Raw genomic sequence first — 19,329 nt, forward strand, 5'->3', positions numbered from 1 at the left:
TTAGTTGATGTATATTTTACTTTTGCTTTTCCCTTCCCATTTCACTACTAGTTAAAAATCCTAATCTTGAGTCCTAAATCACACCTAGTTTTACTCATGTGTAGTTGTACCTGACAAAGAATTACACTACATAAATTCCATCCATTAGAGGTGTGGCCAAATGGACAGAAAACCATTAACATTGATTACTTCAGTGCATGTGGGATTGCAAATGCAGATGAGAAGGAGAAGATTTTTATTTTTTCTTTATATAAGTTTACCTTATTTATTCTAATAGAAGGCTCAAGTATCATTTATAGTGAAACATTAAAACTTTCTTAAAAGTTCATGTCCTTAATGTTCTGTAAAGGGAGCATAAACTCATTTATTGCAACAAATGCAACAATTTATTTCATTCCTCAGATTATTGATCCTAATATAAATAAAACTGTTCTGAACTTGCACAGAGATATTTAAACAAACAAACAAAAACTAGAGAAGAAGTGAAAAAAAAGAATGCTTTTTAAATTACTTAATCATTGTTGATGGACTGAAAACATCCAACTTACATCTCCTGAATTAAATCTGATATTTTCCTGGAGAGTAGTGAGGAGTAGTTGAGGGTAGATAGAAAACAGAGTGTATTTTGAAAAATGTAAAATTTAGAGAAGCTTAATTTAAACACTCCCTGTGTGTCAAAGAGCTATTAAATAAAATTTTCATGATTTTAATGTAAGTCAATCTGAACTAGCATATGGTCTAAATTTCTCTTAGGTTGCACATGGATTTAAAATGTAGGGGGAAAAGATCACTTGGCAAATATGCTTTTGGTTTTGAAAAACTTCCAAATGTTTAAAAAGTACTTTTCAAATCAACCATAGCCATATGCATCCAGGTTTTCTCATTCTCACCACTGAAGGATAAAAAGAACTAGAATTAAGGCAAAATGGATGGAGAGGTCATACATATGCTGTAAAACTAAAATCAGTTGATTCTTTAGGGAATTGGTTAAAAAAATAAATTTAGTCCTTATGGCAATTTAACCCAAAGAATCTAACACTTATTCTTAGTGACTTAGGATCATGGATGATATTAATCTGTCACAAAATGATTCTATGACTATTTCCAGAAGTGGAAAAGTGCAGAAATAGAAAATGCACATGATATTGCTATTTTATTTTGTTCCAAGTCTTGTTACTATTGGTGGAAAACAGTGTTCCAAAGGAATGAATATTTAGATAAATTATGGCATGAAGAATCATTTTCAATCCTTTATGCATAGATACATTGATAATAACTGAACATCTTTGGCATCTGGCTTCCAGATACAGTGACGATTCCCTCACGATATCTAGAAATTAAATAGATGTGCATGAACACTTTAAAAAATGTAAAAACATTAAATGTCAGCTATTTTGAAATAAGTTATTTTTTTAAATAAGAAGCATTGTTAATTAAAAATTAGAAAATAGAGAGCTATATTTGGACAATTAGTTACTCAATGTTTTTTCCAAATAACAGATGAAATATATTTAGACGTTTTTTGTTTTAAATAAATGCAAATATATAGATGTAAAACAAATCAGACATTGCTACAAATGAAATATGTGTGCTGTCTGTAATTCTCAAACATTGAATAATATTCAGTGAACTTCAACACATGCCTCTGGTGGCCCGTTAAAATTCATTGTAATGAATTTTGAATTAGACTCCAAAATGAACACACTATTTTCTTAGCTTTTAGTGTCTGTTGGTTTTTTTCTATTTTCATTTTTTTTTTTTTTTTTGACTGAGGTGGAGTCTCACTCTGTCACCCAGGCTGGAGTGCAGTAGCGCAACCTCGGCTTACTGCAAGCACCGCCTCCCAGGTTCAAGCGATTCTCTTACCTCAGCTTCTCAAGTAGCTGAGGTTACAGGTGCGTGCCACCACGCCCAGCTAATTTTTGTATTTTTGGTAGAGATGAGGTTTCACCATGCTGGCCAGGCTGGTCTCGAACTCCCGACCTCAGGTGATCCACCCACCTTGGCCTCCCAGAGTGCTGGGATTACAGGCGTGAGCTACTGCACCTGGCTGGTTTTTTTTTTTTTTCTATTTTCATTACTAAGACTAAACAATAGTTATGTGACTGAATACAGCTGATCATTTTACCAACTCCTTTCAGCAAATTCATTTTGTCATTTTAATTAAGTACAAATTTAAGAAGTGAATAAATATAGATACTATAGCACATATATTTCCCAAAACATAATATGTGTGTGTGTGTGTGTGTGTCTGTGTGCATTTGGGAAATAAAAGAGTATTATATTTTACTCAAACAACATCAAACATGCGGTCAGGTAAGTTTGATGAAGAAGGTAATATTTCAGCCTAAGAATGAAAATTCTGTAAGACAATGTGTTACTTTATAGTATCAGTTATGTGACCCTTCCACATTGATATTTTGGGTGCAATTAAACCCTCTTTGCCATATACCCTTGGGAGAATAGAAGGTTCTTCACGTTTTTCCATTCATTATAACTTCTGTAGGATGGCCCACAAATACATTTCCTGGACTATATTAAGGAAACGAAAGCAAACAAATATGAGAAAATAATAAAGGTAAGTGTCTGGGAGGGTGGGAAATCAAATTCAGTGGGGTTTAAACTATATCTCATACAAGTGCCCCAAAGTTGTGCTTTTAGAGAAATTCACCTTGGAAAGAGACATGGTCAAGTGATATATTCCCTTTACCTTTTTAAAAAAACAATACATAGCTGTATCCTTGGAAGAGAGGCAAGGAGTGCTGTAGGGTGACTATCTTTGATTTCTGTTGTGCTTCAGAGGAAGTGTAACTTTCTTAAAAGATACCTTGACTTTTGTCATATTTAGCTATTCGTTCCTTTTTATTTAGGAAAAAAAGTCTGAGCCTGCTGTGGCTTGGGCTCTTATTATCTTTTCTTGGACTTCTTGGATCTCATAAATGATAACTCTACTTTTATTGTTGCCTTCTCCAAAGGAACCTGAATACCAGCGTCACCTTCATTTACCCTAAAGCATGATTCTCTGCCTAAGAAAACCCCTATAGCTGACATTTACATTTACTTTATACCTCTCTTAATCTTTTGAGGAATGCCTCTCTACCTATTCTGCATAGTAAAGTTCTAATTAATTACAACTATGAAACAGATATTTCCTTTTCTTATGTTTTATATATTGAATTACTTTATTATTGCCAAGCACAATCTGCTTTGCTAAATTATTCAATATAAGCTTGCCTCTTCCATTAGACTTTGGAATTCCTGAGATAAGAAATTACGTTTTATTCTGAAAGTGTGCTTAAATCAATGGAAAGATGGTTTGTCCAAACAGGATATAGAGGAATAGAGTTATTCTGTACACAGCCACCTTTAGTTGCAAGAGCGGCTAGAAATAGGAGTTATGCTACCTTTTTAAAGACGTCCTCAGCCAGGTGCAGTGGCTAGTGCCTGTAATCCCAGCAATTTGGGAGGCTGAGGCAGGCGGATCAGGAGGTCAGGAGATCGAGACCATCCTGGCTAACACGGTGAAACCCAACTCTACTAAAAATAAAAATAAAAATAAAAATAAAATAAAATAAAATAAATTAGCTGGGTGTGGTGGTGAACGCCAATAGAGGCAGAAAATCGTTTGTTTTAACATCCATTCATGTCTGTAAAAAATTCTAAGTACATTGGAAATGAAAGGGAACCTCTCCAGTCCAATAAAGGGCAATTATGAAAAACCTATAGCAACCATTATAACATATGATAAAATCTTGAATGCATGCCCCTTTAAGATTAGGAAGAATGCAAGTATTCATGCTTTCACCACTTCTATTCAACATGTGCTAACCACTGAAATAAAGTTTTTTTTTAAAGGTATTAATATTAGGAAGAAAAAATAAAAATCTATTTATTCATAGAAGAAATATATGTGTAGAGCATACTATGGTGTCTTTAAAGAACTATAATTTACAAGGAAATTTATCAAGGGTTGCAGGATACAAGATCAACATTTAAAAATCAAATCTTGGTGAGAATGTGAAACAACTATTAACTCTGAAAAATGAAACAAAGTAAACTTAAATGTTCTTCTTCCTTTGATTTTTTTGTATAAAGTGTTAAGGATATAAAAATATTAGAAGTCATGCCATAAAAGTAAAAAAAGAAAAAAATTCTCTTTGAATTTTTATTTTTTGACTTTTCTTTTCTTTTCTTTTTTTTTTTTTTTTTGAGATGGAGTCTCGCTCTGTCGCCCAGGCTGAGTGCAGTGGTGCGATCTCGGCTCACTGCAAGCTCCACCTCCCGGGTTCAGGCCATTCTCCTGCCTCAGCCTCCTAAGTAGCGGGACTACAGGCGCCCGCCACCACGACCAGCTAATTTTTTTTTTTTGTATTTTTTTTTTGTATTTTTTATTAGAGACGGGGTTTCACTGTGTTAGCCAGAATGGTCTCGATCTCCTGACCTCGTGATCTGCCCACCTTGGCCTCCCAAAGTGCTGGGATTTAAGGTGTGAGCCACCGTGCCCAGCCATTTTTTGACTTTTTAATAACAGTCCTTCTGACTGGTGTGAGATGGTATCTCATTGTGGTTTTGATTTGCATTTCTCTAATGAATAGTCAAGCTGAGCATTTTTTTTTTCATATGCTTATTGGCCGTATACATGTTTTCTTTTGGGAAGTATCTGTTCATATAAAAAGTGGTAATATTTTTTGAGAAAAAAATGAATAAATTCAGAGACAAACTCTTTTGTTGGTTAAAAGTAATATTATTGAATATATACATGCCAATGCATAAATTGAATACAATTTAATAAAATACCAGTAATACTTTTCATTGTAAAATTAATTCAAGATTATCTAGAGGAAAAAATCTATCCAAGGTGATAAAACTTTCCTAGAAGGATTAAAAAGTCTCCATTTTGAGGACTATTTTAGATCTTCAAATTAATTTTATCTTATGTATTAGAGTGAACATTAAGAGGTGAGTAAGATCCTGGATTATATGCACAATTATGAAAAAAATCATGTTTTTAAAAGTTTTGGTGGCAAGACTAACCTACTCCAAGATGGGGTTGTTATTCCACCTAAGAACGTATCTAACCTCATTCATTTTGCTTCCTTTCTCTATTTTCCTTTGTGCAGCTCTCTTTATCATTGTTTTCTTTTTGTGGTTATATGGATTTGTAGACTGTGCATTTATATGGACTGCCATGCGAGCTGTCACAGCCCAGGCAGTGGAGTGTGGTTGGCTTGTGGGTAGTAAGAAGAATTTACCAACAACTGTATAGATTTGGAAAGGAAAGCTGTATTAGATGGAAAGAATGCTGCAGAGGAGTGCAGCAGGGCTCCTCAGCAAGAGAGGACTGAGTACGCCACTGCACTAGATTTTTCCTTAGGGTATTTATGGACCTTAAAGTGGGAGCTTAAGGGTAATTTTTACCATATTAGCCACATAGGTCATGGTAAACAATTACATTTATAGACATTTTGGTGCCTTGATGTCAGCAAGGGTTGCACAATGAGTTTAGAATACATGCATTCCAGAGATGCATAGAAATTCTGGTTACTCACAAATTTTTGGAAAAGAAATCTCATACCAGATGCCAGCTTTACATAATAGGGATGTCTAATTACTTCTGAATTCCTTAGATAAGGAGTTCTGCCTCTAGATGGTCTTGCTCTCCTCGTGGACTAGTATCTCTCTGTCTCTTCACCTTTTTTTTTTTTTTTAAGTCATACGACTATCTTTCCATTTATGTCTCTGCTAGTCTTTCTTTTCCCTTTTCTCTTGATTTTTATTTTGATTATTGTAACTTTTTCTGTACTTCTCTCTCTCTCCTTTCTTCTTTCTTTCCTTTTTCTACTCTTACACTTTGTTTTTGAACTGTGAAATAAATTAGAACAAATATATTTGGTGCTAAATTATGTTTATTACCCCCAAATCTGTGTTCTTATTTCACTTGTAAAGTGACCCATAAACTCAGTGTTTTCTTTAAAGCAAAAGATTAAAATAATTTTAAAATAAAATAAAATTAATTTGCATTTATTTTTTCTGACTCAATTAATTTTTAAAATTAATAATCTTTAATGGAAAAATGTTTTTCATCCTTGTTTTAGTTGAGCAGAGTGAAAGGGAACAAATTACAAATACCAAGATCATGACACATCTTTTCATGCTATGTAGGAGGTCACCTTCCCTTTAGCAATTGTTCTATCCTATACCAAGAAACTATTTTCTCTAAGAAGAATTACGCAACAGTATTCACGAGCTTTTCAATATTTCCTTTGCTAATGTCCTTATCACCGTCAACATCCTACAACTGAGGAAGGTGCTTATCTTGCATGCAAAATTTAAAGGCGTGCCCAAAAACTCAATAGTAGAGATAAACATTTTAATCAATATTTTGAGAAATCAAAATTAATTTTAAAATTTGTGATAAACAAAGTACCAAATTTTAAGCAAAGTCAGGATCAGCAACTGCCATGTTGAGCCACGTTGGAACCTGAGGCAACAGGAAAAATAAATAATATTGGTGAAGTCTTTTTTAAAAATTATACTTTAAGTTCTGGGATACATGTGTAGAATATGCAGGTTTGTTACATAGGTAAATATGTGCCATGGTGGTTTGCTGCACCCATCAACCTGTCACCTACACTAGGTATTTCTCCTAATGCTATCCTTCCCCTAGCCCCCCACCCTGTGACAGGCCCCCGTGTGGGATGTTCCCCTCCCTGTGTCCCTGTGTTCTCATTGTTCAACTCCCACTTAAGAGTGAGAACATGTGGTGTTTGGTTTTCTGTTCCTGTGTTAGTTTGCTGAGAATGATGGTTTCTAGCTTCATCCATGTCCCTGCAAATGACATGAACTCATCCTTTTTTATGGCTGCATAGTATTCCATAATGTATATGTGACCAATTTTCTTTATCCAGTCTATGATTGATGGGCATTTGGGTTGGTTCCAAGTCTTTGCTATTGTGAACAGTGCCTCAGTAAACATACATGTGCATGTGTCTTTATAGTAGAATGATATATAATTCTTTGGGTATATACCCAGTAATGGGATTGCTGGGTCAAATGGTATTTCTGGTTCTACACCCTTGAGGAATCGCTACACTGTCTTCCACAATGGTTGAACTAATTTACCCTCCGCCAATAGTGTAAAAGGGTTCCTATTTCTCCACATCCTCTCCAGCATCTGTTGTTTCCTGACCTTTTAATGATCACCATTCTAACTGGCATGAGATGGTATCTCATTGTGGTTTTGATTTGCATTTCTCTAATGACCAGTGATGATGAGCTTTTTTTTCATATGTTTGTTGGCTGCATAAATGTCTTCTTTTGAGAAGTGTCTGTTCATATCCTTTGTTCACTTTTTGATGGGGTTGTTTTTTTCTTGTAAATTTGTTTAAGTTCCCTGTAGATTCTAGATATTAGCCCTTTGTCAGATGGATAGATTGCAAAAATTTCCTCTCATTCTGTAGGTTGACTGTCCACTCTGATGAGAGGTTTTTTTTTTTTTTTCTGTGCAGAAGCTCTTTGGTTTAATTAGATCCCATTTGTCAATTTTGGCTTTTGTTGCCATTGGTTTTGGTGTTTTAGTCATGAAGTCTTTGCCCATGCCTATGTCCTGAGTGGTATTGCCTAGGTTTTCTTCTAGGATTTTTATGGTTTTAGGTTTTCCGTTTAAGCCTTTAATCCATCTTGAGTTAATTTTGTATAAGGTGTAAGGAAGGGGTTCAGTTTCAGTTTTCTGCATATGTCTAGCCAGTTTTCACAACATCATTTATTAAATAGGGAATCCTTTTCCCATTGCTTGCTTTTGTCAGGCTTGTTAAAGATCAGATGGTTGTAGATGTGTGGCATTATTTCTAAGGTCTCTTTTCTGTTCCATTGGTCTATATATCTGTTTTGGTACCAGCACCATGCTGTTTTGGTTACTGCGGCCTTGTAGTATAGTTTGAAGTCAGGTAGTGTGATGCCTCCAGATTTGTTCTTTTTGCTTAGGATTGTCTTGGCTATACAGGCTCTTTTTTGGTTCCATATGAAATTTAAAGTTGTTTTTTCTAATTCTGTGAAGAAAGTCAATGGTAGCTTGATGGGGATAGCATTGAATCTGTAAATTACTTTGGGCAGTATGGCCATTTTCATGATATTGATTCTTCCTATCCATGAGCACAGAACGTTTTTCCATTTGTTTGTGTCCTCTCTTTTTCCTTGAGCAGTGGTTTGTAATTCTCCTTGAAGAGGTCCTTCATATCCCTTGTTAGTTGTATTCCTAGGTATTTTATTCTCTTTGTAGCAATTGTGAATGGGAGTTCACTCATGATTTGGCTGTTTATCTATTAATGGTGTATAGGAATGTTTGTAATTTTTGCACATTGATTTTGTATCCCGAGACTTTGCTGAAGTTGCTTATCAGCTTAAGGAGATTTTGGGCTAAGATGATGGGGTTTTCTAAATATACAATCATGTCATCTGCAAACTTTGACAATTTACCTCCCTCTCTTCCTATTTGAATACGCTTTATTTCTTTCTCTTCCCTGATTGCCCTGGCCAGAAATTCCAATGTTGTGTTGAAATAAGAATGGTGAGAAAGGGCATCCTTGTCTTGTGCTGGTTTTCAAACAGAATGCTTCCAGCTTTTGCCCATTCGGTATGATATTGGCTGTGGGTGTGTCATAAATAGCTCTTATTATTTTCAGATACGTTCCATCAATACCTAGTTTATTTAGAGTTTTTAGCATGAAGGGGTGAATTTTATTGAAGGCCTTTTCTGCATCTATTGAGATAATCATGTGATGTTTGTCATTGGTTCTGTTTATGTGACGGATTATGTTTACTGATTGGGTATGTTGAACCAGCCTTGCATCCCAGGGATGAAGCCAACTTGATCATGGTGGATAAGCTTTTTGATGTGCTGCTGCAATCGGTTTGCCAGTATTTTATTGAGGATTTTTGCAGTGGTGTTCATCAGGGATATTGGCCTGAAATTTTCTTTTTTATGTGTGTCTCTGCCAGGTTTTGGCATCAGGATGATGCTGGCCTCATAAAATGAGTTAGGGAGGAGTCCCTCTTTTTCTATTGTTTGTAATAGTTTCTGAAGGAATGGTACCAGCTCCTCTTTGTACCTCCGGTAGCATTTGGAAGGCAAGCTGATTAGCAACCTTAAATCCATCTACAAAGTCCCTTTTGGCAATTCAGGTAACATATTCACATTATAATATTGTAAGGTCTTATATATACTTGGTCTATATATAATTCATTGTTCTCAAGTCCCTTACATTGTCAGTTGTTTTTTGTGCTTCTCCAATATTACTTAGATATTACAGTTTTATAATTTGTTTGCAGATTTGATCTTCAACAAAGCTGACACTGGGGAAAGGACACACTCTTCAATAAATGGTGCTGGGAAAATTGGATAGCCACATCCAGAAGAATGAAACTGGACCACTATCTCACTATATACAAGAATCAACTCAAAGTAGATTAAAAACTTAAACAGAAGACCTGAAACTATAAAAATACTTGAAGAAAACCTAGGGAAAAATTTCCTGGCCTTTTGTCTAGGCAAAGAATTTATGACTAACACCTCAAAAGCCACAAACAACACAAATAAAAATAGACAAATGGGGCTTAGTTAACTTAGAAAGCTTCTGAGCAGCAGAAGAAATAATCAGCAGAACGAAGAGACAACCTCCTGAATGGAAGAAAATATTTGCAAACTGTTCATCTAATAGTGGACTAATACCTAGAATTTACCAAAAACCCAAACAACTCAACAGGAAAAAAAATTCCACTGGAAAGTGGCCAAAGGATATAAATAGACATTTCTCAAAAGAAGACATACAAAGGGCCAAAAGATATATGAAAAAATGCTCAACATCACTAATCATTATATAAATGCAAATCAAAACCACAATGAAATATTATTTCCCCCTAGTCATAATGACTATTACTAAAAACAAAAACAAAGCAAAACAAAATATAACAGATTGAAAAAGGAACTCTTCTACACTGTTGGTGGGAATGTAAACCAGTATAGCAACTGTAGACAACATTATGGCGATTCCTCACAAAAGTAAAAATAGAATTACCATTGGAAACAGCAATTTTACTACTGGGTATTTACTCAAAGGGGAAAAAAATCAATATACCAAGGGGATACCTGCACTCGCATGTTTATTGCAGTACTTTTCACAATGCAAAGATATGAGACCAACCTAAGTGGGGGTTTGGGCTTATGAAGGTGATAGTAAAAAGACTCAGGGTTTGTGAAGTTGGTGAGGGATTTTGCAAAGCTCTTCAAACGGCATGAAGAACTGTTGACCAGTGAAGATGGCAAGGTGGACGGCTCAGCAGCCAGGGATGTGCTGGTGCGCAGGGGCAGTAGCATGATGTGCAGGTGTACCCAGCCATGTTTGGGGTACTCAGGTCCCAAGTGGTGCTTGGAAGAGGTGATGAAGCTCTGAAATAATTTCCGAGCATGATCTATTATCAAGCCAGTAACATACAAAATACAGAATATTTCATGATGATATCCTCCAATAAAAATCATGAAAAAATAAAACAGAAAACAAACCAACAAAAAATGTGGTGTATATACACAATGGAATATTATTCACAGCCATAAAAAAGAATGAAATAATGTCATTTGCAGCAACATGGATAAAACTGGTGTGAAATAAACCAGGCACAAAATGGTAACTATCCCATGTTCTCGCTTATATGCAGGAGCTAAAAAAATTTCATCACGTGGAGGTAGAAAGTGGAAAAATAGATCACAGAGACCGGGAAGAGTGAGTGGAAAGGGCAGGGGAAAGAACAAAGAGAAGTGCACTAAAGGATAAGATAGGAGGAATAAATTGAATGTTTGATAGCAGAGTAGGATAACTATACTTTAAAAAGTATTGTACTGGAGTGACGAACACCCTAAATATCCTGACTTAATCACTATGCATTACATACACGTAACAAAATTCCACACGTATCCCATAAATTTGTACGAATAAAAAAAGCTTAAGTTAGCTAAAAACCAAAACATAAAGCAAACAAACAAAATGAAATAATATTTCTAATTCTTGACTACTTTAATCTGATTTGCCTTCACACAAACTTTGAAAATTATTTTGTGAACTCAAAAATATCTCATGGTTTATTGAATTTCATTTTATAGGAGGGAAAATGTATGTGTTGAACGATGTTGCATTTTTCTCCAATACCATAATAAGTATTTAAATTTATTTGTCAACTTTTTTTTTTTTAGAATAGTATAGCTTTTGTCATTTATAAACAACACATTTCTGTTTAAGATTATTCCTATTTACTTTATATAGCCTATTGTTCATCTGAATAGGTTCTTTTTGGCTACATTTTAACATATTACATTTTAATATATTACATATTTAATATAATGTTATATAATGTTAAATATATTTATTTAACAATTAAATATATTTAAGTTCAATATATTTATTTAACAATTAAATATATTTAAGTTCAATATATTTAAGTTCAATATATTGTTGAATAATTTGTAAGAAGGTTATTGAATTTATTTTCTCATTTTGAAATTTGCCCTTGTACTGAATTATCTGGGTTTACTTTTTAAAATTCTACTTTATAAAATTATCTTAAAGTAAAATGGACCTTTTCTTTGTTCTGGTAAACAATCCATTAATTTTAGCATATATATAGATTATGTAATCAGCACCACAACCAAGATATAGAACAGGTTACTAATACCAAAAAACTCCTTCATGCTCTCTCTTTCTGAATTATTTTTATTTCTATTCTTTTTCTGTTTATTCTCTTGCCTTTTCCAGTATTACTCTAATAATAATTATACCTGTTTTCCAGGATTTATACAGTTTTCCAGGATTACTCTAATAATTACTATATATCCTTATTTCTTGTTTTACAATTGGATACATATTTTAGATTTACAGCTAGCCCTCTTTTTCTGTGGGTTCCATATTCTTGGATTCAACCAATAGCGGATCCAAAATATTAATAAAAAACAATACAAATAATACAAATTCAGAAAGTGATACAGTATAACAACTAGTTACATAGCATTTATATTGTATTAGGCATCATAAGTAATCTAAGATGATTTAAAGTATATGGGAGGATGTGTTTAGATTGTATACAAATATCATGCCATTTTAACTCAGGGATTTGAACATCCATGGATTTTGGTATCAGCGGGGGTCCTGGAACCAATCTTCTATGGATACCAAGGGACAACTAGAAAACTATTAAATCTTTATACCAGTTTTGTTAAGTTTTTAAAAAGTCGTTTCCTTTTTCTTCGTAGAAGGAAAAACATCTTAAAACTAAACTTGCTTTCTTATTTCAAAGAGTGCTAGAAATGTGGTCAGCTAGGGAAGATTTTCTTGGGGTCTATTGCCAGACCTGTGGGGAATGTAGGATGGATATGACAGTTGGGAAGAGTTCAGTCTTTGAGGTATTTGGGAAACAAGTCGTGCTTAGAGAGCAAGCCACAGATAAATGATTGACCTGCAGGTAAATATGGCAAGACCCTTGGCTTATGGTTTTGGGTTGTGAATCCACATCTGTATCTTCCTGGATAATCCATTATGAACACTTCAAAAATAATGATAATTATTATAAACATCCCTGCTATTATTTCTACTATATTTTATTAAGTACTTTCCTTGTAGTAAGCATTGAACTGAATGTTTAACGTTTATTTCTATAATTTAATTTTTACACTATTCATCTAAGGTACTCCATACTACCTCTCTTCTCTCCTCCTGGCTATGTTGGACTTTCCAACGTCCCCCTTTCTATGATTCACCTATCCCTCGAAACAGCTATCAGTATTAGTTTGTGCTAATTTTTTAATGTATTGTCAGAAACTTTAATGCATGATACTTCCTTTAATACGCAACTTCCAGTAAGCAAGTATTTGCTGGAGACAAATTGCCTTAGCCTAAAAGAATAATTTTCCAATTGTTGGATTTTGAAAACTGGGGCATAAATATGGGAATATTTCCATAACTAAAGGAGTAATTTTTGTTCCCCATATGCTCTGTAAATGACTGCTTCAATGTTTTCTTCTCCTAGGCCAGTCCCAGTTGTGCTTTTCTCCAATGAACATTGCTACATCACAGGAGTGCATTCCCACTTTAAATAGCAAAGACACACTTCACAGTTCTTGTTGCAACTCTGTGAAAAGTTGGGTCAACATTTTAATGACTCCCACTGCAAGTAGATTATAGTGTTTAATCCCTGATCTAGTCAATGTCACTGCTTTCTAAGGGGTTTTATAATAAAGACAGGAGAAAAATATACATCCGTACTCCAGGCTTCTGATGCTTACTAAAGAACTATGGTGATTTCAGTAGGCTTGCATATGTTATTAATAATAAAACACACTGATTATTTCTGAACAGCATTGTTAAATTTGGATTTTGAAACCTAGAAAATTTCTTAAATTTTGCCCAGAAAATATGCTTCAAGCTTTACATAGACCATCTAATATAATTCTCACAAGTAGAGGTCAAATCTTAGGCTACTGAGACATAAGTGAAGTCAAGAATACCGTAACTACTCTTAACTACTGGGCAATATACTCCTTTTAAGAATTCTCAAATATCATTCCATGACAAAATTTAAAAATAATTTTTTTTTTTTTTGAGATGGAGTCTAGCTCTGTCATCCAGGCTGGAGTGCAATGGCACCATCTCAGCTCACTGCAACTTCTGCCTCCCAGGTTCAAACAACTCTCCTGCCTCAGCCTCCCAAGTAGCTGGGAATACAGGCATGCGCCACCACGCCCAGCAAATTTTTTTATTTTCAGTAGAGATGGGATTTCACTATGTTGGCCAGGATGGTCTTGAACTCCTGACCTCATGATCCACCCACCTCGGCCTCTCAAAGTGCTGGGATTATAGGTGTGAGCCACTGCACCCGGCCAAAATAATTTTTCAATATTGACAAAACAATTTAAATATGTGCAAATAAATGGAGATGTAACCAGATTTTCCTCCACATGGGAAAACATGAGGTCATCTAAAGGAAAAATATTGCTGAGGGTAACATTTATTTGTATTTTTATTTTTGAGATGGAGTCTTGCTCTGTCTCCCAGGTTGGAGTGAGTGGTGTGATCTCTGCTCACTGCAATCTCCGTCTCCTGGATTCAAGCAATTCTCCTGCCTCAGCCTCCCAAGTAGCTGGGATTACAGGTGCCGGGATTACAGGTGTCCACCACCACACATGGCTAATTTTTGTATTTTTAGTAGAGACGGGGTTTCACCATTGTTGACCAGGCTGGTCTTGAACTCCTAGCCTCAAGTGATCCACCCATCTCGGCCTCCCAAAGTGCTGGGATTACAGGCATGAGCCATTCCACCCGGCCGTGAAAGTAATATTTACAATTTTGATATTTAGTGTTCAATCACAGAATGAGTTAAGGACGGAATAATAAGGTAAATTATAATTAACTGAGTACAATTCATTTCCAGTACATTTGCTTCTGCACAGCAACAATTAAAAACAAATTAAAAATTTTAAAAATGAATCAGATTTTTTCCCATTTTTATTTTTCCACTTCTAACTGGACTCTGAAAGTTGCTGCAACAGAACAATTGCTATAATCCTTCTATTCTAAAGTCAGAATGTGTAGTCAATGTAAAATTTGTGATAGTTATCCAAAAAAGAAGCCAAAATTGTTTTGGAACATTTGTTTTAGTTTTTACTGCAAATCAGATAAGACTTTTTCTTTAGACTAGAAACCATGCCACTACTTTTAACTAAAAGCAATCAGCTAATCTGCAAATTTAATCAGCCAATCAGTTAATTCAGAAAAAAGGGGGCACATAATCATAAAACTTATTTTTTCACTGAATTGATACATTGGCACTGTCAGACAGTTAAATCTATATGTGTATTGATCTACAATCTAAAATTTCAATAGTCAGAAGTCTCAGGCATTCATAATGCAAGATTTTCTTTTTTATTTATTTTCAAGAATTTTTGGAAGGATCATTGGGAATAAATTAATGGAAGAGAATGAAGAAAATAAAAGTAAAATAGTTCTTTTTTTTTTTTTTTGAGACAGGTACTCACTTAGTGCTCAAGCTGGAGTGCAGTGGCATGTTCTCGGCTCACTGCAGCCTCTGTCTCCACCTCCCAGGTTCAAAGGATTCCCCTGCCTTAGCCACCCGAGAAGCGGGTGTGGGATTACAGGTGTGTGCCACTACGCTTGGCAAATTTTTGTATTTTTAGTAGAGACAGGGTTTTGCCATGGTGGCCAGGCTGGTCTTAAACTCCTGCGCTCAAGCCATCCGCCTGCCTCAGCCTCCCACAATGTTAGATTACAGGCATGAGCCACTGTGCCTGGCCCATTTTTGACTCTCTTTCCATTTGTTCATTCTTTGAGTTTGTAACAATGATTTTATTCTTTTCTTAGCATATTAATATTGACTATAACTTAAATATTAGTATACTGATATTTTAAAATTTTTGACATTCGTCCACCATGTTTCACTGACATAATGAAATCTTTTTTAGTGTACCTTGAAAACTTTTATTGAAGAAGGAATGAAATATTGCATTTTCAAAGACGGATAAGTTAGAATACAGGATTAGATAAAATTGCATTATCTATTATAATTAAATTATTATCAAAACTAGATAAATATTCAAATATATAAAGTGAAATATTCAAATGTGTAATATAACAAGGGAATTCATGTAGTTTTACATGTGGAAAAAGCAATTTAACTAAAAAAAAGATTTAGATGCATATAGATTTATAAATGCCTGATCTAACACTATATTTTTTTACTTAATTAATTTTGGTCTCATCAAATTTTCCAGTAACCTGGACAAATTTCCAGTTACGCAGCTAAAATTTCTGTAGTCAAAGGCTTAAATTTCATTAGGTGGCTGGCAAAGTAAACACTACCTGGTCACAAAATTAGCTTTCATTTACTAGGACTAAGTTTCACTTGTTTTGTACCACACTTTTGACTGTTTGGTAAAGACATTGATATTCCGTAGGAAATAAAATTTCTAGAACTTGGGAAGCACTGTAAATGAAAAAATTAATTTTGAAAAATAATTCTGAGTTCTTAATGTATCTTTTTTGTTTGTTTTTTCTAGTTTAAAATATAGCTTTGGGTAGAATGAAGAGAATTAAATGAGGGAGATTCTCTTTTTAAAACATGTTTCTATGAAATAATAAATTACCAAAAGTGGAGAATAACTCTTGTAGGTTACAAGAATGCCTTTTGGTTATCAGTTGTCTTATGGAATTAAGAAATTAAAAATTAAATAATTTATCACCCTCATAAGATATTAAATGGATCTTCTGAAATCATTAAAGTCTTAGTTAAGTCTAGTGTTTAACAATAGTTGACTCAAAATATTCACATTTTTGTGTGTAAGAGAAACCTTTGAGAGTTCAACACTTATTTTATTTTTAGTTTTATTTACATGCCTTATTCAGTAGAGCACACAAATGTAATGTAATCTGCCTCAATAAATGTGTATTACATAACTCGTTAAGTAGTATTCAGATAGGTGTATAATTGTATGGGCATGTGATGACTACAGCTCAACGTGTACTAATGCTAGTCAAAACCAAGAGGTTAAACTTTTCAGATTATATCTGGTAGCAAATGTTAAGTGATTCCCCCCAAAAATGTTTACCCTGAGAATTTTTAGTTGGATTCTAGTAATCAATCTTTAAGCGAATGATAAGTTAATATGTGGTTGTAGAAATATCACACTTTCAAACTCTGTAATTTTGTTCCTTTTACAATTATAAAGCTGAGTCTGCAGATGAATGGAGGGGTTCAACTATTCCAGAGTATCTGAATTCATGTTACTTGGACTTACTGATTCTCCTGAACTCCAGATATTCTTTTCTGTGGTGTTTTCTGTCTTCTATTTAATGACCATGTTGGGCAACTGCCTGATTTTGCTCACTGTCCTATCCACCTCACACCTTCACTCTCGCATGTACTTCCTGCTCAGCAACATGTCTCATTGACATGTGCCTGTCCTCCTTTGCCACACCAAAGATGATTATGGACTTTTTTGCTCTGCGTAAGACCATCTCTTTTGAAGGCTGCATTTCTCAGATCTTTTTTTTACACCTCTTCAATGGGACTGAGATTGTGCTGTTGATCTCCATGTCTTTTGACAGGTATATTGCCATATGTAAACCTCTCCACTATTCAACAATTATGAGCCAAAGAGTGTGTGTTGAGCTTGTGGCAGTTTCTTGTTGGACAGTGGGCTTTCTACATACAATGAGCCAATTAGTTTTTCCCTCTATTTGCCCTTCTGTGTTCCCAATGTTGTAGACAGTTTTTTCTGTGATCTTCCTTTGGTCATCCAGTTAGCTTGTATAGATATTTATGTTCTTGGGACCTCCATGATTTCAACCAGTGGTGTGATTGCTCTTATAAGTTTTCTGCTTTTGCTCACCTCCTACATCATTGTTCTTAATATTGTCAGGGACTACTCCTCCACAGGATCCTCCAAGGCTCTTTCTACCTGTACAGCGCATTTTATTGTTGTGTTAATGTTCTTTGGGCCCTGTATTTTCATTTATGTGTGGCCTTCCACAAACTTCCTGGTAGACAAAATTCTCTCCGTTTTCTATACCATCTTCACTCCCTTTCTGAATCCACTTATCTATACTTTGAGAAACCAGGAAGTGAAGACAGCAATGAAGAAGAAACTGAATATTCAGTATTTCAGTCTTGGGAAAACTGCTCCGTGATACTTCATGCAATGAATAGCGATCTCCTTTGTGAGATATAATATCAACAGTTATGTTCTTAGAGCAATCAAAAAATTAAACTTAGAATTTACCTTTCAAATAATTTAGTTTAAATTTATGAAAAGAAGTCAGGGATAAGAAATGTGCGACATCTTGACGAAAAGTTAGCGCAGTGTTTACAAACCTTTTGAGTTATGGGTCTATTTGATAATCTGGTGAAATGTAAAGGTGATTTTCATAGAAAAATGAACATATCATCAAAATTGTGAACATAAATTCAGGACTTCATAGACCTCTGGATCCTACAAACATACCTCGGATTAAGACTAATTAAAGAAACCTGAGATAAAATATGAATCTCTTGTTTTCTAATCCAGAATACTCCCATTCTGTACAGCCTTGTGGTACTCTGATGGTGTTTAGATTAATTTAGAAGTATAATTAGCAGTGCAGGACAAAACAAGTATAACACTGGAAATAGTTTTATGGGAAAATTTATACTGTGAAGAGATTCTTTTAGTTAATGTTCAACAATCTTGATTTAAGGGGTTCAGTTGTTTGAGTTCTGTGTCAACTCTGAAAATAAGAGAACAGTTCAAAGATTCAGAAATTTAACAATACAGTTTCTTAATAGGTGTTTATACCACTATCACACTTCATAATTAATATAGTAAATAATCAAATAATAATTTCTAAAGTTTAAATCATAGACAGTAAACTATTCAAATGTGACTGGCTTTCAAAATCGGGCTGAAAATTATAAGTATGATGAATTTATTTACTACCAAGACTCAATGTTTGGGAAAAATATTAGCTATTAAATTAATCATAATTTTTTCATTTCCAAAATAAATATTGCAGCATATTATTAGTCTTAGAAGAAGCTTTGTGTCTAATTTTCAACATAATATAACCTATGGAAAGAAAGGAAAAAAAGAATTTAAGAAATACATAGCATGATTCTCCCTAATTTGGTATATTATTGATCATGTTAAATAGATTTTTCATTACAAGAGAGTCTTTGGAAATCAGCCAGTCCAATTTTCTAACAGCTGACGTATTGAAGGTCCAGAGAATTCACAGGACAGATTTAAGGCTGAATCACTGTAAGGGGCAAAGACATTTCTGTAGACAAACATGGACCCTGGAATTAAATCTTGATTCTGTCATTTCCTAGTTGTATTATCCCTGGGGATTCACTTTACCTTTCCCTTTTTCATCTCTAAAAATATTGTAAAAGGTAAATTAAATATTTGTCATGACTGCTTTATGGAAAGTAATACAGAATGGGTTCTAAAAATGTCGTTTCTATTTCCCTAAAACTTCTTCCCAAAATACATCTTATATTAAAGTAGTATGCCTTTGAAGAATAACTTCTTTCAAAAAAAGTCACTAGCAGGTTAAATTCGATATTCTAGTTTTAGCATGTCTCTAAGACTGCAGCTTGTTAAGACATATGACAGAAAAACGAATAGAACGTTTTCCAGTTTTTCATTACTAATATGGTTGGGGTGACAAAACTAGGTTAGATTGCATGGTATTTTGATATGCTGATAAAAATGTGTCTACTTAAAATGACTGACGTACA

General features: G+C 34.3%; 1 long non-coding RNA gene and 1 pseudogene across 5 annotated transcripts in view; one reads left to right on the forward strand and one right to left on the reverse strand.

The window, feature by feature from the left end:
* Positions 1–1,161: 1,161 nt before the first annotated feature.
* Positions 1,162–19,329, reverse strand: part of LOC105372004 (uncharacterized) — an 87,301-nt gene continuing 69,133 nt past the window's right edge. For 4 of the 5 annotated variants that reach the window (XR_935173.3, XR_935175.2, XR_935174.2 and 1 more), the window contains one exon: positions 6,357–6,481. This is a non-coding gene — a long non-coding RNA (uncharacterized LOC105372004). Of the gene's footprint in view, positions 1,331–2,452; positions 2,533–6,356; positions 6,482–19,329 lie in introns of those variants that run through there. The other variant, XR_935172.2, reaches the window with a different exon arrangement.
* OR4K7P (olfactory receptor family 4 subfamily K member 7 pseudogene) lies at positions 16,697–17,669 on the forward strand (annotated as a pseudogene).

The sequence above is a fragment of the Homo sapiens genome, chromosome 18, assembly GCF_000001405.40.
Source record: "Homo sapiens chromosome 18, GRCh38.p14 Primary Assembly".
NCBI lineage: Eukaryota > Metazoa > Chordata > Mammalia > Primates > Hominidae > Homo > Homo sapiens.